Source organism: Homo sapiens, chromosome 12 (genome assembly GCF_000001405.40).
Source record: "Homo sapiens chromosome 12, GRCh38.p14 Primary Assembly".
In the NCBI taxonomy this organism is placed as follows: domain Eukaryota; kingdom Metazoa; phylum Chordata; class Mammalia; order Primates; family Hominidae; genus Homo; species Homo sapiens.
In genome coordinates, this window is record NC_000012.12 from 107,380,789 (window position 1) to 107,403,315 (window position 22,527).

At 46.8% G+C, this 22,527-nt stretch overlaps 1 protein-coding gene across 5 annotated transcripts in view, besides 1 other annotated feature; it reads left to right on the top strand.

The window, feature by feature from the left end:
* ABTB3 (ankyrin repeat and BTB domain containing 3) overlaps window positions 1-22,527 on the top strand; it is a 341,209-nt gene that overhangs the window by 62,355 nt on the left and 256,327 nt on the right. The window lies entirely within an intron of this gene.
* Window positions 4,438-4,983: an enhancer, noted in NCBI's record as "H3K27ac-H3K4me1 hESC enhancer chr12:107779003-107779548 (GRCh37/hg19 assembly coordinates)". NCBI's record gives its function as "activates a minimal SCP1, AML or CMV promoter by ChIP-STARR-seq in primed H9 embryonic stem cells {active_cell/tissue: H9 hESC(primed)}" and the evidence as "EXISTENCE:reporter gene assay evidence [ECO:0000049][PMID:30033119]".

Consider the following 22,527-nt stretch of genomic DNA (forward strand, 5'->3'; position numbering starts at 1 on the left):
ATGTTTTAGAACATTTTTCTCATCCTTTTAGTATTTATATACTTTATGTATATTTTATAATGACCTATATTATATGGTAGTACAGCAGTATATTATATACAATGTTATATATGCTATGTATATGTCTCTAATATTATACTATATATTCAGTTATAGGTTTGGTATAATCTATAATTAAATATATAGTCACATATCAGAGAGGTATATATAAGAATGGTAGGGATGTGTGATCAAAACTGTTTGGAGACCACTGGTTTAATGAATGCATAGCTGTTCCTGACCATTCTGTCTACACTACCCACCCCCCATCATTACTCTCTTTTCCTCTATTCTGCCTTTGTCTTCATCATTCTCCCTGATATTATATTGCATTTTTGTTTATGGTCTGTTTCCTCTATTAGAAAGATAGGTCTGCATAGGTGGAGACTTGGGTTTGCCCACTACTGTCTCCCCAGCACCTAGAAGTGCAGGCTGGGCACTCAGGGGCATGTGCTAAATACTTGCTGAAACAAATGAATGGATGTGGAGCCTCTGCAGACAGGTGAACACACATGCCCCACAAGAGTGTGCTGTGTACAGGGTTAGGGCAAGGGCAGAGTAATCTGGGGATGCCAAGTGGGCATCTGATCCAGCCTGAGGTATGCAAAGGGGCTTCCTAATGAAGGGCTGCCTACACTGGCACCCAAAGGCTGAGGAAGGAGTTGGCCAAGAAAGAGGAGAGCTCCGGGTAGGAACAGCAAGGGCAGATACAAGAGACTAGAGAGGGCAGCGTCTTCCTCAGGGCTGGGCAGTGTCAGGGAATTAATGGCAATGGATGAGGCTGGAAAGGAGATTAGATCTGTTCATCAAACACTTCCACATTGTCTTCAGGAGTTGGGGCTGTATCCTAAGGGCAGGGGGAACCATTCTGACTGCAGCATGGTGTGGTGTGTGGAGCATGGACTAAGAGGCCAGACCTCTGGATTTGCATCCTGGCTCTGTTATTTGTCAGCTCTGTGACTTTGCAGTTATTTAACCTCTCCTGCCTCAGCTCCCTCAGCTGTAAAATGGGGATGATAATAGGATCAGCCTCAGCAGGGCATTGGGAGGATTAAATGAGCTAATTTATGTAAATCGCAGAGATAGCTCTTGGCATGTAATAACTACTCTATATGTGCAATTTATTATAACTCATTCAACAAATGTTTATTGAGCCCCCTATGGTCTCCAGGCTGGAGATACAGTCGTGACCAAATCATACCTAAACCATGGAGCTTGCATTCTAATTAGGGCAGAAAAAAACAATAAATGAAGAAATAAATTAACAAGAACAAATTGGCCAGCAATAAGACCAAGAAGAGAATTAGAGTGGGGATGTATAAAGGTGATGGGACTCCCTCAGGTTGGGCATTCCATAAGGGCCCCCTGGAGGAGGTGACTTACTAGGAATGAGTTTGGATGCTTTCGAAGGCCTGCAAGGATAAGTGTGTTTGCCATATAGTGGGCCCAGGGGAGGGAGGCTTTAGGAGAGATGGGCCAGGACCTGGCACACAGGGCTTGTCTGTCAAGGGAAGGGGTTTGGGTGCAAAGCCACTAGATGTTTCTACGTGTGGTGGGATTTGGCTCCTTTTTAAAAGATCCTCTTTGTAGCAATTGTGAATGGGAGTTTACTCTTGATTTTGCTCTCTGTTTGTCTATTATTGGTGTATAGGAATGCTTGTGATTTTTGCACATTGATTTTGTATCCTGAGACTTTGCTGAACTTGCTTATCAGCTTAAGGAGATTTTGGGCTGAGACTATAGGGTTCAGCCATAAAAAAGGATGAGTTCATGTCCTTTGCAGGGACACGGATGAAGCTGGAAACCATCATCCTCAGCAAACTAACAAACGAACAGAAAACCAAACACTGCATGTCCTCACTCATAAGTGGGAGTTGAACAATGAGAACACATGGACACAGGGAGGGGAACATCACACACTGGGGCCTGTTGTGGGGTGGAGGGCTAGGGGAGGGATAGCATTAGGAGAAATACCTAATGTAGGTGATGGGTTGAGGGGTGCAACAAACCACCATGGCATGTGTATACCTATGTAACAAACCTGCATGTTCTGCACGTGTATCCCAGAACTTAAAGTATAATAATAATTAAAAGAAAAAATCCTCGTAGCTGCTGCCTGGACTCACTGCAGGGTAGGAGGGTCCTTGACATGAAGAAGAAAATGGGCTTGTCGGTGCCCCTGCTGTGTCCCCTCACCTCCTCAATGGCACCTTCGCCCTTCATTGCTTCTAGTTCCCTTATATTCTCCCTGACCCCATGTCAAGGCCCACTCTGAGGATCATTCCAGCTTAAGAGCCAAATGACTGCAGCAGCTTACTTTGCAGCTCTTCGTTTTGGGGCAAGATTGGCCAGCTAGTGAGTACCAAATTTAGGGTGCAGACCCACTCCAGAAGCCAGGCCTATAGGCCTTACCCATTTGCCCTGCAGGTATGGCTGGCCAGAGACCACTCAGTGCCTTCCACCCACAGCCCTGAGTTTAGCATTTGCCTCTGTTGTCTGTGTGTGTGCCGCATTTTGAGAGGCAGCCTGGTGTAGAGGTGAAGCCAGAAGGTCCCAGAGACAGGCTGCCTGGGGTGGAATCCTGCTTCCACTCCTTGCCAGCCAGGTGACCCTGGGTAGATTCCTTAACCTCTCTAGATTCCGGTTTTCTCTTCTGTAAAATGAGGATAACCATAGCAACTACCTTACAGAGTTCTAAGTGAGTTAACATTTATAAAGCCCTTAAATAGAGTCCAGCACATAGTAAGTGGTCAATAAGTGTTCACAGTTATTATCAGTGTTGCTTTCCTGCCTATTCAAGGGGACAGGCGCCTGTTCTCTGCCTACCTTTCAGAGATGGCTGCAGGATTAATGAGATAATGATTGTCGACTGTTTGGAGCTTTGCAGAACAAAGGCACTGCATAAATACACATGATTATTATTGTCATCTTTATGCTTTGCTTGGGTGGGCCTATTGTGGTTGGCTGATTTATGGAAATGGTGTGTGTCCCCAGGTGAACTGAATTAGTGATAAGCAAATTGCAGACAGTTCAGATAATCACAGGGTCTTCCATCTGCTCAGGGCCTTTCATTGTGAAAGCTTCCAGGGAGCTGTGTAAGATAGAACAGCAAGACAGCACCCATCCAAGCATGGCTCCAAGCGCCCAGGTGTGCAGGCATCCACCTATCCATCCACCCAGTAATGAGCATCCGGCCCAGGTGTGCTGAGCATGCTGGGCTCCAGACCCACACACCTGCAGTCTCTATGGGAGTGAGGAAACAAGCGTGCTCCTTGCAAAAATGGCAGTAACTGAGAACTCACATGTCTGGGACATTTGCTGAGCACCAAGTCATGTTCCAAAGATTTCCTATGTATTGATGTGTGTGATTCTCAACATCCAGGGAGGTAGAAACCAATTTTACAAATAAGGAAGCAGAAAAGACCTGCTTAGGGCCATGTAGCTAGGAGGGGTGTGGTTGGGGTTCCAACTCAAGCAGCCTGGCTCCACAGCCAACAATGTCGTTAACCAGTATGTGACCATTTCTAACGAGGAGCAAGAAGCCTCCTCAAATATCAGCAGAAGGAAAAATAGGTTAGCTGAGAGAGCCAGTGGCATTGGCCCAGAATGGAGACCCTGGTTGGGTTTCTTTGTTCCCTAAGTGCATCTTGGCAGGTGTCGTAGGTTGAGTTTCCTGGAAAAGAGACTCTAAGAGGTGCCCGAAGGAAACTTATTGGGGATTGTCTTTGGGGTTAACTCAGGGATGCAGAACTGGACAGAGAGAGAAGTTGAGCTGTGATATACTCACAACAGAGGCCTCAGTACATCCCCTGGGAATAGCTCTCCAGAGTTGTCCCCAGTCCAGACAAGGGGGTCAGGTCTTTGTACCCCCACACCAACTAGTCATTGGATACAGCTGCCCCAGGAGCGGGTGTGACCTTGAGAGAGGCCTTCCTTAGGCTGAGCAGTTCCTGGGAAGAGACTCAGCAGGAGGCCCTTGAACCTGCCGGCAAGGCTTGCAAGGAAGCCCTACAGCCTCCACTGCAGGAGGCATTGCTGACTGAGCAATTTTATAAAGATCACTCTGGAATCAGGGGTTATAACCAGAAACCAAGGCGATAGCTTGGACTTTCTGGCATTCTCAGCCCCGTCACACCATGTCATGTAGCTTTTTCTTCGCATATCTGTTGATTGCTTGCACTTCTGCCCGTCCTCATACTAGGGCTTAGTTCAGCACTTCTCCCTGGACTGGATTTAGACTCTGATGCCCATTCACTGAGCAATGAAAATAAGCCCGATCTAGCTTTTTCTTTCCTCGAAGGCAGCCATTCATTCATTCTTTTTATTGTCTCCTCATCCCACATTTAGGTATTGAGTAAGTGACAGGTGCTGGGGATGCAGCAGTGAGAAGACAGACACGAACAGGCTCTGTCCTCATGGAGTTTGCCTTCTTGTGGGCTGGACATAGACAAGTCAACACTTGGAATACTTTCCAGCAGTGATGAGTGCTGTGATGAAAATAAAGCAAGGTGTTGGGATCTGCTGTAAGCAGGCAATGCAAAGGTGTGTAGGTCAACACACCCAAGGGTGACAAACTGCTGACTTACACACATTTGCATTGCCTGCTGAGAGCAGTGCCTGGTGTGGTCTCCCATTACATGACAAATATTAGTTATTTGATTGTAATTGATGACAGGCTGACTTAACTGGGATCGTCAGGGTTGGGGGTGGCCTGTCCTTCCTTCCTGCTGGCTGGGGTGAGGTTCCGAGAAGCCTTCCCGAGGTGTGGTGCTTGCTGACTCAGCAGTGCTCTGCCTGGCAGGGCTGAGATGTTCCTTGGAAAAGCTCCCACCTAGGTCCTTGCCCAGGCCCCCTGGAGCTGCCAATCACAGCAGCTCTGCCAGTATGATGGCTTATGGGGCCCAACAGCTACGTGCACCCCCCCAAGCCCTGACTCAAGTTGGGCAGTCTTATGAGAATGGGCGTTCTCTGGCATTTCCTGCTCCTCGCTGGCCTGGACGACCTTGTGAGAACAGCCCTGCCCCCACCCTCCTGCCATCCTCACCGACATGCCCAGCCTAGCCTGAGCCAGGACCACAGCAGGCCTGGGAAAGGGAACCCTGGAACTTTGAGGATTGTGTGGAGTTTCACAAAACCTGGGTTTGAGTGAGAAGTCTGGTTTCTGGTCCAGCTCCTGTTGTGTGACCTTGACCCAGGGTTCTCTGGGTTAGTTCCTCATCTGTGAAAATGAGGCCTTACTAGACTTACCTTATTTTCATCCTTCACAGCTGTTCTCTCCTGCCTCAGGGCCTTTGCCCTGGCACTTACCTCTGCTGGAATACTCTTCCTCACCTCTCTACCTTTTACCTAGTAGACTCCATTCCTCCTTCAGGCCTCAATCAATCATCCTACCTGCCTAACGAGGCTAGTTCAAGGTTTCCAATCTGATAGGGCTACAGAAGATTATATTCCTCTCCCTTGTCATGAATCAGTTGTCAGTTGATATTTGCTTGTGGGATTCTTGACAAATAACCATCCTTACATGCCTCAGTGAGGGCAGGCATCTTGCTGTCTTGTCTGTAGCTGTATCCCCAGTGCATAGCACAGAGCTTGGCATATAGTATATACTCAAAAATTTTTGTTACGGAATGACTCTTCAAATGAGATTACGTAGATAAAAGCCCTTTATAACTGTAAAGCCGTCAACAGAAGGGAGGTGTTTTATTACCAGTGGGATAATGACATTGGCCTGGAGGAAGCATTTCAGGATCTGCAGGGATTTTGGGTGACTTTTCTAGAGTTAAAAAGAGTATCTGCCACCCATTCTGTCCTGAGTCAGCCTGTGCCTAGTGAGCCCACAGCCCTGACTGATCATTCCCTTGGCCTTTGTTATAGAGCACACCAGGGTGGGTGTCCCTGAGCGGCTGGCTGCTTGGTCTTGTTCAGCCTTTCTGTGTTACATCTTTTTCCTGCAGCTGCCACACACAGCTTTCTAATTATGTCATGTCATGGTGATGTCCTTGATAGGTCACAGTGGCCTGGGCTTTCCTGGGTGGGAGGCCGAGAAGTCGAAGGAAATGGAAAGTGTGTGTGTGTGTGTGTGTGTGTGTGTGTGTGTATGTGTGCGCATGCTTGCAAGAAGATGGTGTGGATCAGACAGTCAGCTACATTCTTTTTTTTTTTTTTTTGAGACAGAGTTTCGCTCTTATTGCCCAAGCTGGAGTGCAGTGGCGTGATCTTGGCTCACTGCAACCTCCACCTCCTGGGTTCAAGTGATTCTCCTGCCTCAGCCTCCTGAGTAGCTGGGATTACAGGCACCTGCCACCACGCCCAGCTAATTTTTGTATTTTTAGTAGAGACAGGGTTTCACCATGTTGCCCAGGCTGGTCTCGAACTCCTGACCTCAGGTGATCCACCCGCCTCAGCCTCCCAAATTGCTGGGATTACAGGCGTGAGCCACTGTGCCTGGCCAAGTCAGCTGCATTCTAAATCCACTATAAACATTCTCCCCCCACCCTTGAGCCTGCTCCTGCGGGTAAGTCTCTTTTGCCCCTCTTGGTAGTAGGCAGTAGGTGTCCTTGATCAGCCTACACCTAAGTCAGTGAATTTTTGTTGAGGGACTGCTATGTGTCAAGTGCTGGGCTAGGTGCTGAGGGCTCAGCAGTGGCAATCCAGGCAAAGTCTTTGCCAGCTTGTAGATGACTGTTCAGTGGGGAAGACAGATGTTAAACAAATCACCAGATGTAATATTGATATGGTAACAAGTGTTCCAGGTACTGCAAAGAAGAGGGGCAGAGTAGTTGTCTCATTTTTGAGTTTATTCATTCATTTGTTGAACAGTATCTTAAAGCAATTGCTCTGTGCCAGGCAGCATGCTAGGTTAAGTACATCTCGTCCCTGGGACCTTCCTAGACCACCAGGCCATAGCAGTGACTCCTTCCTCAGAACAGCCCAGGACACCTGCCCCTGCCATCTGGGACTTGGTAGTTTTTGACTTGTGCAATTAATTCAAATTAATGCAGGTCCCATACAGGAGCTTTGTTGACTTTTTCATGAGATTGGTCCTTATTCCACCAAATAGTGAAGACTCCTCCTCCCTCATCTTCCTGCTTCCCCTCCTCCTACTCCTCTCCTTCTCTTTTCTCCTCTTCTTCTTCTTCTTCTTCTTTTTTTTTTTTTTTTTTGAGACAGAGTCTCGCTCTGTTGCCCAGGCTGGAGTGCAGTGGCACAATCTTGGCTCACTGCAACCTCTGCCTCTCAGGTTCAAGTGATTCTCCTGCCTCAGCCTTCCGAGTAGCTGGGATTATAGGCTCCCGCCACCACACCTGCTAATTTTTGTATTTTTAGTAGAGACGATGTTTCACCATGTTGCCCAGGCTAGCCTCGAACTCCTGATCTCAGGTGATCTGCTCACCTCAGACTCCCAAAGTGCTGGGATTACAGGCATGAGCCACCGCACCCGGCCCTTCTTCTTTCTTTCTCCCTTCTCTGCCTTCTCTTTCCTTCTCCTTCTCCTCCTTCCTTCTCCTCCCTTTCTTTTTCCTCCTCCTCTTCCTAATTCTGCCTTCTATTCTTTATTATCTGCCTCCTTCTTCTTTTCCTCTCCTCTCTTTCTCCCTGCTTCCTTGTCTTTCTCTTTCTACCATTTTCTCCTCCTCTTCCCCCTCCTTTTCCTCCCCTTCTCCTCATCTTCTTCTCCCCTCTTCCTCCTCCTTCTTTCCTTCCTCCTCTTCATCTTCCTTTTCCTCCTCATTCCCCTCCTACTCCCACCCTTTCTTCTTCCCTCTTCCTCTCTCTCTCTCTCCCCTCTTCCCCTCCTGCTGGAGGTCTGGGCCAGCCATCCTGGAGCCCTTGAAGGCCCATGCAGGGGCCTGGCAAGTGGCATCTGCACAGCACCAGCAGGTCTCCGTTGGGTGTTCCTTGCTTCCCTGCCCTTTGTATTCTGAATTGACCTAGGGCTGTGCTAATAGATGTAAAGGGTTTGCACAGTGTCTTACACGTAGGAAATGCTCAAAGACGAATAATGAACATGGTCAAGTTGTTAATGATGATGATGGTTATCAGGAGCCAGGGTTTCCTCTTCAACTCTTCCATGGATACATTAATTTAACAAAGATCAAATGAGTTTGCTTAGATTTTGTGTTCTCTGTTCCTCAGAGGAAAAGCATCAAGTTTACATTTTTCCTTTTGGAGTGAACCAACATTAAAACTCAGAGTTCAACTTTTTAATTTCCTTTTTCAAAGAAATAGATATGAGCTGCAGGTGAGTGTTAACCTGTGGTAATTGGGACTGCACTTCTGTACTTCAAAGATCACAAGCTTATTTTGAATACTTGAGGTTGGAAAATGGAGCCAGAGGCTATGAGATTCACCTCAACAAATTTGCAACAATGTTTAAGAAATTTTAGAAAATTAAACAAAAACTCTTTAAAGAAGCAATGTGACTCAAGCTGTAACCACCTACTTCCTCTAGTCTCTCCCCCATAATAGCTAAACATTTTTAATGCTTATGTACTAGGCATATTGCATGCTTTATCTCATTTAAGCTCACTATCATCTTAGTTTACAGGTAGGAAAACTGAGGTATAAGCCGCAATACTCCCCAAGGATCATAAATGATAGAGCTTATAAATGATAGAGCCGGACAGTCTGACACCTGAGCCTACACACTTCCCCACAGTGACATTCTGCCCCCAACAAGAGGTTCTGAAACTGGCATGGGCAGCTCAATTTCTGGATTTGGCCTCCTCCAACACTCCTGTCCAGAGTGACTATTTTGGTTATTAATTTCTGTGAAACAAACCAACCCAAACATAGTAACTTAAAAAAACAACAACCATCTTATCCCACAAATTCCGAGTGTTGACTGAGCTCAGCTGGATGGTTCTTCTGCTCCAACAACGTCAGCTGGGGCTACAGATAGCCGGGGGGCTCTACTGGACTGGGATATCTAGGATGACTCCCTAAAATGTCTGGTGCCTTGGTGGAAGATGGTTGCAAGTGTGAGGTCAGGTGGGATGCTGGGGCATGTGTGTGTGTTTGTGTGTGTGTGTGTGTGTGTGTGTGTGTGTGTGTGTATGTATCTGTCTGTTCTCCTTCCCTGACAGAAAACCACTTCCTCTTCCCAAAGCCTTTCCATGATGTCTTTCCATGTGTTCTCTCTGCATGGTCTTTCAGCACAAAAATTGGACTTCTTAAATGGTATTCAGGGCTTCCAAAAGCTCAAAAGCAGAAGCTGCCATGCCTGATTCTCTGGCCAAAGTTCTGGCTAGATTTCAGTGTGGGAGGAGACTAAACAAGGGCATGGCACTGAGAGGGGTGGTCCATTTGGGACCCTCTTCAGAGATCAGCTACCACAGTGAGACTTCTACCACACAGCTCATAGGCAATGAACCTATGTGACTTTTTTAAAAAGTACCTACTGTGCGGTTTACCTATAGTGTATCTTATTGTATTTAATGCTCCCACCAATCCTAGGAGGTAGATATTATTATCTTCCTTTTATGGATGAGAGAATAGCCTTAGATACTTAATAACTTGCCCAAGGCCACCTAGCCTGTGAGTGAGGGAGCCTGGATTCTAACAGGTTAGCCTGATTCCAAAGCCTATGCTGTTTCCTCTATGACATCCTCTCTTCGGGGAAGGTGGTACACGTTTGTGTGTGCTTGCCACTTTCAATCAACTCTTATTAAACAAGCCAAAAAATACTCACTGAATTATTAGGATGTACCAGGTTCTAGGAAGAGGTAGGAGGCAGTGTCAGTACTGGTTTCTGCCCTCTGAGAACTTGACTGCAGGGATAAGACAGGTAAACAGGAAAAGATAAAACCAACAATACTGGTTAGTGCTGACATGGTACTACTGAGGGTGGAGGGAGAGGACACAGACTGATGATCTTGGAGGCTGTTCCTCAGAGAAAGTGGGATTTTAAAAAATGATTGAAAAGAAAGAGATTGGAATTTGGAAAAAGTTGTGAGGAGTGGTGATAGTTTAACTTACATAACACATACCATGGGCTTCACAGGGCTATAAGCACTTTCCATGAATTAATTTATTGAACTCGGCCAGGTGCAGTGGCTCATGCCTGTAATCTCAGCACTTTGGGAGGCCAAAGTGGGTGGATCACCTGAGGTCAGGAGTTTGAGACTAGCCTGGCCAACATGGCAAAACCCTGTCTCTATTAAAAAGGCAAAAATTAGCTGGGTGTGGTGGCATGTGCCTGTAATCCCAGCTACTTGGGAGGCTGAGGCAGGAGAATCGCTTGAACCTGGGAGATGGAGGTTGCAGTGAGCCAAGATCACACTGCTGCACTCTAGCCTAGGTGACAGAGCGAGACTCCGCCTCAAAAATAAAAATAAAATAAAATATTTTATTGAACCCTCAGGCAATCCAGTGAATTGGGTGCCATCAATATTGCTGCTTTATAGATGAGGAAGCTGGGGCACAGAGGAGTTAGGTAAGTTGTTTGAGTTCACACAGTGTGTAAAGTGATGCTGCTGGATTTGAATTCCAATTATGTGCATTCTGGCACCACAGTTGGGATCCTAATCATCAGGCCGGACCACCTCTTGTAAGGGAGGCTGATTTAGAAGGGGGGTCTTTTTGGGGAGAGAGTGGGTAAACCAGCTTGGCCAAAACACAGAGCACTTGTAGAGGGAATGAGCATAACAGTGACTAACACTTAAACACATTTGATCCTTCCACCTCCCCACCTACTGTAAGGGAATGATCACCTGAATTCTACAGGTGGAGACCTCAAGACTTAGAGAGGCAAAATGAATTCCCTAAGAGCACACATGTGGACCCCAGACTTTAACCTAGGTCTTCTCTATTTAAGCCACTGTCTTCCTTTCATATAATGAGAAAATAACCTAGTTTGACGGTTTCAACTGCAGAGGTCCTGAGTGTCAATTTTGTGAATCCCAGTGTGCATGTTGGTAGTGGCTCCTTAGCCAGGCATTCTTAGCCCAAGGTTCAGGGCTCTGCTTCATAGAGGCCTCTGAGGCTCCTGCACCTGTGTGTGATGGTGTATGTGTATGCGTGTGTATGTGTGTGATGGGGTGTGTGCATTTTCTAGGGAGAAGGTGCATAGCATTCAATAGTTTCTCAGGAACACTTGGGACCAACAAAGGGTGCTCAGTTTCTGGAACTGGATCTTCTAACTTCAGATCTGGGTTCTGCTGCTTGTTAGCTGTGCAGTCGAAGGCAAGTTACTTACTGTCTCTGAGCACCGGTTTTCTCACCTATAAACAGACTGGCAATACCAACGCTGTGGGCTGTTTGTGAGTGAATGGTTGCTGTCCAGCCCTGTGCAGAGCACACAGTAAGTGCTTAACAAATGCCCACCATGACAAGGAGATGCCCTTTCTCTGGGCATCCCTGCCTTCCTGGGTGTTGTGGCAGGCCGGGGTCCCTGCCGTGAGCTAGCTTCTTTGGGCTTCCCTGCTCTCCCAGCCTGCCAAACTGTTTTCCTGGAAGTAGAGCCCAGTGCTTTTGTGTTTTTATCTCCTTCCTTCGCAGGGACCCTCTCTTAACTGTTCCTGGGGATCTGACCCAGGCCCCTTAGAAGGAAGTAGCTAGAACCCAGACTCCTTACCATGGCCCACTAGACACTATGTGATCCAGCCCTGCCTCTCCCTCCCTGCCTCTGCTTCTCATTCACCTTCTCCAGCCACGCAGGTCGTTCTGTTCTGTGTCTGGGCCCAGATCGTTCTCATTCCCGAGCCTTTGTTCATTCTCGTCTTTCAGAGTGGGACCCTCTCTTTGCCAGCCTAGCCTTGACTAATCTCTCAATGTCAGCCTCACTCCCTCAGAAGGGCTATCTTTGACCAAATTCCATCTCTGTTCTCCCCTTCCATAGGACTCCATGTTTCCATAGCAATCAGTTAATTTGCAATGAAAGCCCATCTCCTCTACACAACTGTAGGCTCTGTGAGGTGGGAAATCACATCCATTGCTGAACTAAGCCTGGTGTTGTGTACACAGTTGGCACTTAATACATGTTTACTAAAATGAAGTAAAACAGTAGGCTGTATTAATCTTTTTCTGGCGATTTTGTAAAGAGTTTCTCTGACCTGGGGAAGCTCTCCCGCCCTGTGGAAGTTCCCCTTGCAAACTCACAGTGGGCACACGCTGAAGGCTGCAGAAGGTGAAGGATGGGAAGGATGCAGGCTTGCTCCTTCAGGGTGAGTCTTGGAGCAGAACCATCACTGGTGAGGTGAAGGGAGGAGGCAGGTGTGCAGGCCACACCTGGTGCAGGGCCTCTGTCGGTGCTTCTGCAGCCGCCGCTGAAGAAGCCAATGATTTATACGTAGGTGACTCAGGAAACGCTTCCTTGAGGGGCCTTGGGGGTGATCAGTCAGGGACGAGAACTCTGCTCTGCAAACTGCAATCATCACCTCCTGTCTTAAAAATAAATCTTTTGTAGTTTTCTAATGAGGTCATGGGAAGAATCACTCTGTGCTTTCTAGTAGGAAGGCTGAGCTGGGCAGGAAGGTGATCTCTGGATCTGGTTTCCTGTATCAGGCAGGGTGGGGGTGGGGGTGTGCTAGGGAGAGCCAGGGAAATGAAAATCCATAGGAATCCAAAGCCTCACTTCAACTACTGCACTGCACAGCAACCAGGAGACAAAGAGTTCCTGGTAACTGATGGGCACTGAGCTCTAGAACTTAGACGCCAGCTGCCCAGTGGCACTGACCACAGTCAGGCATTGTGTGATGGCCTCCATGGGGGTGATGTCACTCTATCTTCACCACAGTCCACCCCACTTTACAGAAGCACACCTGCCATGGTGCCTATGTCATAGTAGGCTCTCAGTAAATGTTTGTAGAATGAATGATAAAGGCTGGGTGCAGTGGGTCATGCCTGTAATCCCAGCGCTTTGGGAGGCCAAGACGGGCAGATCACGAGGTCAGGAGATCGAGACCATCCTGGCTAACACGGTGAAACCCCAACTCTACAAAAAACACAAAAAATTAGCCAGGGATGGTGGCAGGCGCCTGTAGTCCCAGCTACTCAGGAGGCTGAGGCAGGAGAATGGTGTGAACCTGGGAGGCGGAGCTTGCAGTGGGCCGAGATCGCACCACTGCACTCCAGCCTGGGCAACAGAGTGAGACTCCATCTCAAAAACAAAAACAAAAAAAAAGAATGAATGATAAAAACAGTGTGCAGAGAGGTGAGTTAACTTCCTTAAGATGGCACAGCCAGCAGTGCCTGGGTTCCCACCCATGACCACTAACTCCAAAGCCAGGGTCCTTAACCAACTGCTCCATCAAACCCTTCTGCAAAGAATTTCCACATGGATGCTTCCTGAAGCCCCATCAATCATCACCCAAACAGGTTTCCCCAGGTAACATGCACACATCATCTTGCGTGATTCTTCCAGTAGTTCTTCGAGATTGCCCTTGTTGGCCCATTTGACAGAGGGGAAAAAAAGCCTTCAAGAAGATAACCAGCTTACCCAGGGTCACAGAGTAATAGATGAGAGAGTTCCTGAGTCAAACTAAGAACTATAGAGACATGGCTTTTTCATTAGGAAGGTTTGTTTCCCTTTAGCAAACCTTCCTAGTGAAAGGTACTGTCATTAGTACTTCCTCCTGGCACCAAAATCTCTGTCCATTCTGATCTTGGCTTCTCTGGTAACAGTGGGTATGGCATCCCTGCTTTAAGACCAGTTGAAGCTCAAATGGGAAATGAATGCAGATGGGCTTTTGTAAATATTAAAGTGCTGTTCCAATGTGAGCTGTTTTTACAGCCTGACTCTTAGGAGTATGGGCTTTAGAGCCAAATGACAGAGTTCATATCCCAGCTCTAACAGTTACTAGCTGTGTTACTTAACCTCTTTGTGCCTCAGTTTCTTTCTCGGCAAGATAATATTTTCCTCAAAGGGTTGTTTTGCTATTTAAATAAGTCGATACCATAAAGCATTTAGAACAATGCCTGGCACAGAGCAAGCTCTCAGTAAATGATAGCTGTTTTCCTCCTCCTCATCATCATTATGATCATCACCACCAAAAAACATTGTTCTCTCTGCAAATACAAGCAGGCCAGGGGATTCCCTCAGGGTGGCCTGTGACTCCCAGGAGAGCCAACGGCAGCCCTGCAGTGGCTGCACTGTACAGACGTCTTGGGTTTCCCCAGGGTCCTTGTTCTCACTTGTGTTTTTCTCCCTCTCTTCTGGTCTCTCCATGGAGCCCTGAGCATGGCCCACCTGCATACCTGGCCTAGTCCTGTCTCTGACCAAGGCAGCTGGTCAGGTGCTCACCCTCATCAGCAAGTGGCATCAGGACGTGCTCCTTTTGTCCTCACCTGATTGAAGCCCCAAACACCCACCTGCGTGTATACTGAGCTTTATTCTCTGCCCCACTGCCATTGAGTTGACCTGTTTCTTACACTGGTGTTTCTGCCTTGGTTTCCTGGTTTGGTATTTAGGTCCTCTGCTAACATTGTCAAAGGGTCTAGGCTAGGCACTTTCATTAGTACTTCCTCCTGGCACCAAAATCTCTGTCCATGCTGATCTTGGCCTCCCTGGTAACAGTGGGTGCAGCCTCACTGCTTTAAGACCACCGGAGGCTCAGATGAGGAAATGAATGCAGATGAATTGCCTATGGCCCTGACACACAACTTACTGCCCCCATGAGTCCCCCTGGGCACTCCCCTGTGCTGTGTGCACCCCTATCCAGTAGCTTCACACTAGTTTTGTTAAACATGTTTATTGAGCATCTACTCTATGCAGGGTTTGAGGTGCACCATCTGTTCCAACCGTGTCCAAGCATTTTCCCAATCACATGCACCCCCTGCTCAGGTGAGTGCTCCTACTCACCCAGTGAGAGGGTCTTTCTGTGGTGTCCATGGACTCCCAACTTGGCCACGCTCCCCAGGTGCTGTAAGAGTGCCATCCACCCCCAGTGGGGGCCAGCTCTGGTCACTTATCTCCATCTAGTCTTGTCCATTCTCAGCTGCCTCCCTTCTGCCACGCTCTGTCCCTAAAGTTCCCATTTTTGCACAGGAGGGAGCCAAGGCACAGAGAAAATGAGTAATTGGCAGAAGGCAACACAGCAACCCTGTATGGGGCAAAGAGGTGGTGACCAGAGATACTCATAGTATCGTGTGGTGAGCACAGGAGGCTGGATGGGAACCCTGTGTGGCCTTGTCCACAGCAGGGAGGGAGTGCTGAAGGTACAGACCTGGCTGAGCCAAGTACACATTTCCTGTTAGTCTTGACTCCAGCAGGACTAGCTCCTGGCCCCCTCCTGGCCTAAGCCTGGGAAGTCCTTTGGCCAAGTGCAGGACCCACAGGAAATAGAGAACGTGTCTTGCCTAGCCCTTGTATTTCAAACCCTTTAGAACCCAGCCCAGCCTTCCTCTGCCTCTCCACATTGTCCTCTGCGTGTTAATAATACTTTACTCCCATGGTGGTTGTACTGTAAGTGAATGCATACAAAGCCTTGAGAACAATGCCTGCCACTCACAGCTTCTGCCCCCACCTTCTTCCCTGCCTGCACTGAACTTTAGCTACCCATGTCTGTAGAGTTAGGCCCAAGTTCAAGATCTGCTAGCCTTGAAAGCTCTGGCAAGTGGTTTAATCTTGCCCAGCCAGTTTTCTCATCTGTACAATGGAGACACTTCTTGGAGTTGTGAAGACTGAATGAGGCAATGCATTAAAAAGATCCATTCATCCAGCAGCCTGTGCTGATCTCTGGATTTGTAGCAAAAGACAAGGTAAACCCAATCTGTGCCCTCAGGGAAGGTGGGTCCAAAATAGTGACAAAGATGAATTTTTTTTTTTTTTTTTTAGCATGGTGAATTTTAATTGTATTTGCTTTGGGACTCATGCCCTTTTCAATAATTAAAAATGCAGAGAATATAAAACCATCCACCAGAATTAACAGAGGTTGATAATTTCTCATATTTGCATGATTCTCTCACATAAAAGAAGTAAAACATTTTAGCTGCAGCCAAAATCCCTCTTGGTAGCCACTCACTGTGGACCTTCCTCCTTCCCTCCAGGCAGCCCTTGATCTTGAATTTGGGTCATAGTCTTCCAGTCTGTCTTTACGTTGTGCTGTCTCTATGTGTTCATAAATCATAGATGATTTCTTGTGTGTTTCATTTACCTATAAAAGAGCAAACTATGGGTGATATTCTGCAACTCAATTTTTTCACCCAGTATTGTTTTTCAAATCCATCCATGTGAGAGCATTGAGTTGGCTCATTCATTTTGATCACTACGTGCGCTTGTATCAACCCCCAACCTTTGCTCTCACAGGCAAGGTGTGGGGATCGTCTTCTGTGCCTCCCCTTGGAACCCCAGTGGGAGGTATTCCTAGAAGTAGAATTGCTGAATCACAGGGCGTGAACGTTTGCAGCTTGACTGGCTAGTGTTGGCCTGTTTTCCAAACAGGCCGTTTGCACTGATTTATATTAGCAACATCTGAGAGTTCTTGTTTCTCCACATTCCCACCGGTCCTTGGTATTATTAGACTTTTCAGTTTTTGCCAAACAGATTGGGTGTGGAATGGAGCTCAGACCTGTCTTTGTCTGCATATCTCTGATCATGAGGGCATTGAACATTACACCATGTTTTCTGAATATTTGGGTCTCCTATTCAGTAAAAGACCTGTTCAAATTCTTTACCTATTATTTTTTTCTATTGGATTGCTTGTCTGTGTGTGTGTGTGTGTCTGTGTGTGTTCCTGATAGATTTTTGGACTGATTCTTTACCTGTTGTATAAGTTGCAAATGCCTCTTCTGGGTGTATTGCTTATCATGGGGTATATTTCTTGGGCTTTTTGTTGTACAGTTTAAAATTTTGTTATGGTCAAATTGATCTTTTCTTTTATGATTACGATTTTCTTGCCTTGATTAAGACCTGATAATGTAAAGATACTCTCCTCTCTTTTCTTCTAATAATGTTGAAGTTTGTGTTTCAGTTTCATGTTTAGGTCATTCATCCATTTGGAACTTCTTCTTGTGTGTAGCGTGAGATGGGGGTCTAATCTAATTTTTTTCTTCTCTAAGGAAAGTCATTGGTCCCAATACCTTTGTTTGAGTAGCCCATCGTTTCCACGGTGTCTTGTAACGGCACCTCCGTTCTGTGCTGCGTTGACATATGGTATTTATGTGGGTCTTTTCCAAGCTGTTTTTTTCTCTTCGCCTGGATAGGAATAATTCCTTAATCATAATTGTGGGAAATGCTATTGAAGAAAAGCCCAGGCTGCTATGAGAACACACAGCAGGGGGATTTAGAAGGCCCTTCATTCCTCTGCTCTGTTTTGTTGCTTTCTTAGCTTTTGTGTGAATTACAGACCTTTCCATTACACAGCCTGGCCACCTTGCACAGCTCTGGCATTGGGTTGGGGCTGGGGTGGGCTCCCACCGAGAACAGAAAGCCTGATGCATCGAGCAGGGCCAGACGCCACACCACCCTGGGAGGCAGCATGCACGTGAGGCCCACGTTTGTTTCCTGAAGCCTGGTGTTTATGCATGCCTATCCTCACTGAGATAGAGTCATTTTTCAGAGCAATTTAACCATGGCCGTGGGCCTGTCCCCACAGAGATTAGATAACACAGACACACAACAGTGCAAGTTTTAGGGAAAGATTTAAAGTATCCAAGCTCATTGGCAGGCCAGGTGTCTTCCAGCGGAAAGAGGAGGCTAGAAGTAGCAGGCTTGCCCGTTGCTGGGGCCACTTTGAGAAGCAGCATTTTCATATTGCTACATCCCTTGAGCAGCATTTGTGTGTGTTCTAGGGCATTCAGAAATGTCTCTTTATTTCCCATTGTGGCTCTTGAATTCCAGGGCACTGCATGGGCACTTGGCTCTCATGCTGTTCAACCTCACTTTAAAATCCAGCACATGAAGCAGCAATTTAGGAGCCTGCTAAACTGGGGCTGGGGGACAGGTAGGGGGGTGGATGACTGTTACATCTTATACAGGAGTCCAAACTCACACTACACAAGACTTATTTAACAGGAAGTTTATGCAGTAAATTGCTGTGTGCCATTTACAAAACACGGTTTGGCTTAGCAATACCTTCTAAGAATCAGTACAATCAGTAAACCAGTAAGAGTGCTGGACTGTGGAGACCACAGACCCAGGGTTGAGTTCTGTATGATCCTAGACAAGCTATACTGGCATCCTATCTTGCATGGGGTCGGGATAGGGGGAGTTGAGTCTCACACTAATGCACTGAGAGTGAAAATTACCCTAGAAAAATCCCTCACATTGCCTATGAAGTATAATATACAGACATACATTCTCAAAAGCAGGTCCACCACAGCTATTTTTTTCCTCCATCGCTGGAGTGGACCACCGTGTCTTTGAACACCAGAGGAAGTAGGTGGCTTGTGTGTTTAAGGGATGCATTTGAAAACTGCTTTTCTTTAAACAGAAGCCCAGCTGGCTGGAGAAGAGGAATGCAGCGGTACCCACTGAGCACATTCTCCAAGAGTGATTCTTTTTTGAAGATATTTAAGTAACACAGTGCCACAATGGTTGCTAGGATCGTGAACAAAGGATGTCAGGGAACACTGTGGAAACAGGATCTCGAGAAGCTCCCCAAGCAGGGGCACAGCACCCCACCCCCCAAACCCATTCCCTCCATTGTTCAAACCTGGCTCTGCCTCTGTCTTTGAACACCAGACTCATACTCAGGGCTGGGAGTGGAGAACACTTGGTAACAGGGGGACCCAAGGATGCAGAAGAGTCCAGGCACCCATCTCCCCCTCATTTTGGGCATGAGCTCATTGACTGAAAGAATGAGTGGAATCACCTGACAAAAAATGATGATAACAATTACTACTACTATGATAGCAGCTACGATTCTGTGTCCAGCACTGGCCCACATGCTTTACATATTTTTTAAAATTTTATTTTATTTTACTTTAAGTTCTGGCTACATGTGCAGAATGTGCAGGTTTGCTACACAGGTATACATGTGCTATGATGGTTTGCTGCACCTATCAACCTGTCATCTAGGTTTTAAGCCCCACATGCATTAGGTGTTTGTCCTAATACTCTCCCTCCCCTTGCCCCCGACAGCCCGACAGGCCCCAGTGTCTGATGTTCCCCTCCCTGTGTCCATGTGTTCTCATTGTTCAACTCTCACTTATGAGTAAGAACATGTGGTGATTGGTTTTCTGTTCCTGTGTTAGTATGCTGATGATGATGGTTTCCAGCTTCATCCATGTCCCTGCAAAGGATACAAACTCATTCTTTTTTATGACTGCATAGTATTCTATGATGTATATGTGCCAGATTTTCTTTATCCAATCTATCATTGATGGGCATTTGGGTTGGTTCCAAGTCTTTGCTATTATGAATAGTGCTGCAATAAACATTCGTGTGCATGTGTCCTTATAGTAGAATGATTTATAATCCTTTGGGTATATACCAAGTAATGGGATTGCTGGGTCAAATGGTATTTCTGCTTTACATATTTTAACTTACTCGATGATATGTATATGATCAACACTCAAATGGGCCCATGATGAGATGCTTAGGGGGCATTCATGACCAACTCAGGTTGCCAGGCCTCTCCACTGGGATTTCTGATTGAGTAGCTCTAGGTGGGGACCCAGGAATCTGTGTTTTTCACAAGTACTCAGGTAACCCTTATATACAGGTGGGTTTGAGAAACACTGAGTCATGATTTCTCTGTTCTTGTTTATGTTTGCTGAGCAGGTACAGTGACATTTGTGTCTGTTTGCATGCATGTGGCCATTCGCTTGAATTTCGCCTTTTCTAGCCCGAGTCTCCTTACCTGTACAATGGGAATTGTAATAGGATCTACTTCCTGCCATGTGTGAACATTCAGTGAGATGAAGTACTCAGAGCATGGTGTCTGGGATGTGGTAAGTGGTCAGTGTTACCATTGTTATTGGTTATGGCTGTTATTTAGGGACACGCAAAGTATACAAAGAGAGACTTACACCCCCCCGCAAGAGTGCTACCTGAGTGAAGTGACCTTTACCCAGTTCACTGCTGAGCTATGCTCAAGCTAATCTCCCTTCGCTGGTTTGTACAAGCAGATCCGGTGCCCAGAGGAAAATGGACTGGCAGTGAATTGATTACTTCCTGCCTCCCTAAGCAGCCTGGTTTCGAAAGGCCCTGGTCAAATTAAAATGCATTAACTGAGTTTGTCGAGGAGCGATCAGCCATCTGAGAAGGGCCGGTCCCTACCTCCTACCCACATGTGCCAGGCTGATGACCATGTCCACATTCACATGCAGGACCACGTAGTACCAAGACTTGTCTCCTGGCCGCATCTCAGCTCTCATGGAAACCTGGGGTTTGGTTCTGAGCCTGGAGACAAATGAGGTGGCTGTCTGTACCATGTTTCCCAATGGGTTCCTTTTCATGTGCAATATTTTCTCTGCCTATTGTAGAGGCTCAGCCTCAGAAAGCAAAAGCACAAAAAGGCCAAACCAAGAACTAGACCAACCAAAGGAAGCCAAGGGGAGGTGATTACGTAACCCCAGCAGCCAGGCTGTCTGCAAGCCGTATGACTTATTTAGCTGTCTGTCTTTTCGGATGTCAGACTCCATCCTTTCCAGCTGGCTCTCCGCTTTGGTGATTATATTAACACTCAGTAATTATAGGAAATGGACACCTCTCCAGTCACCAGCATTCCCAAGTGGCGGGATGGGGGATATTCAATACCAGGAACACCCCATCACAGGGGGTCAGTCACTGCCCAAGGTTTCAGTAGTCTGGCAAAAAGAGACAGAAATAATGGCACAGTAGTGAGTGCTCCCATGATGCAAAATGTATTAAATTTAAAGGCTGGTGCTTGATCTTGAGCGGATGCCCTGGGGTTAAAATGTCCTTTAAAAAATCCAAAATGATGAAGATGATTATCAGTGGTTGCCTCTGGCATTTTGACATAACACAAATTTGGCCCCTAATGTTAATCTCCATGTGGGGGAGAAATTCCTGACTGACGAAATTCTAGAGTCTGAGCATCACTGCTTTATACATAAGAAAATAACATAATAAGCAAAATAATAAGAAATAAAAGGAATCTTTTTCATTTTAAAATCCTATGTGTGTAGAGTTTTTTACCCTCAGCTTCTTCTCTTTATATAGTAGGTAACAACCGCTTAGGGTTTTTTTTTTTTTTTTTGCTGCCTTCTCCTGCCTTGCTTCCCTACCCTCTGCCCTCCTCAGAAGCCTCCCTGCCTGTTAGCCCAGTTCTATCTCGACTCCTAAGCTGGTCTTGATGGAGATCGGTGTAAAAAAGTAATTATGATAACAGCCACCATTTGCTGCTTTGCTTCATCTTTGCTATGTGCTAGTTACTTTATTCAATAAAGTGAATAAAGTGCAGCAACAATGGAAAGTGGACTCTTAGTAGTAGTACCAACCCTATTTTACAGATGGGAAAACTGAGGCTCAGAGAGGTTAAATCACTTACACAAAGCCACACAATTTTGAGTGGCAGAGCTGGAATGTGAATCCAGGCAGTCTGACCCTGCAGCTTATGTGCTTAACGATACTGCCTCTCATGTGGGCAAAGGATGGCCCAGGAGAAAGGCAGGCCCAGATTCCAAATCTGGCTTGACCGCCTAAGAGGCTGAGTCTTAACCTCTCTGAGCCTTTGCTGTTTCATCTGTAAAGTGGTCCTCCTGACAGCTGCCTCCTAGGGTTGTTTTGAGGATAAAGTGAAGTAATGGAGGGCCCTTGGGATATGGTACCCCATCTCCTTCCTCACCTGGATGGAAAGCCATGTTCCAGCCACGGCTACTGGCCTGCAAATGGCTTCCTGGGGCTTTTTGCTCTTATTCAGTCTTGCACCTTGCTCCCCCTAGTGCCAAAACCAAGCTGCAGCTCCCCTGGCTCCCTAAACATTGCTTTATTACCTCTCTCAAGCCACTGCCTCCGCCGCCAGGATTCTGACTGGTGGGAGGTTGTGGGCCTGCCAGCTCTCCTCACCTGAAGCCAGGCCTTGCAGACAGAATTCCTAACTAATGACATCCTTGCCCCTTCTGCTACCTCCTAAATTCCTCCTCTTTCTAGATTTGCAGCTCTATGACTGGCCCAGTCAATTGAATACCTGTGGACCAACTATTTCCAGGATAGTGACAGTGGCTTTTGAGTCTGTCCTGCTGCTGGCTTGTCCCCCCACCCACCCCCAGGCTGTGCTATTGGGAGGTGGGACAGGAGTACAGTAGTCACCAGCCACAACATGTCTTAGACATGGATCCTGCTCCTTCTTCTCCTCCATCTGCTCCAGGTTGTGGAGAGGGCTCCCACAGGCCTCGGACCCAAGTCATTCATTCCGATTGTGTGAATACCCTTTAATGAGGGACCTGTAATATCCCAGGCATGGTCTAGAGATCACGTATATCAGTGAATCCTCCTGGCTCCCTGTGAAGTGGGCCCCATTTACTTCCGTTTGACAGATGAGGAAACCAAGGCCTGGTAAGGGCAGAGAAATGTTCATATCGCCCATGGCCCATTAGTGACAGACCTGAACTTGCATAAGGCCTTCTTCATTATAATATCCC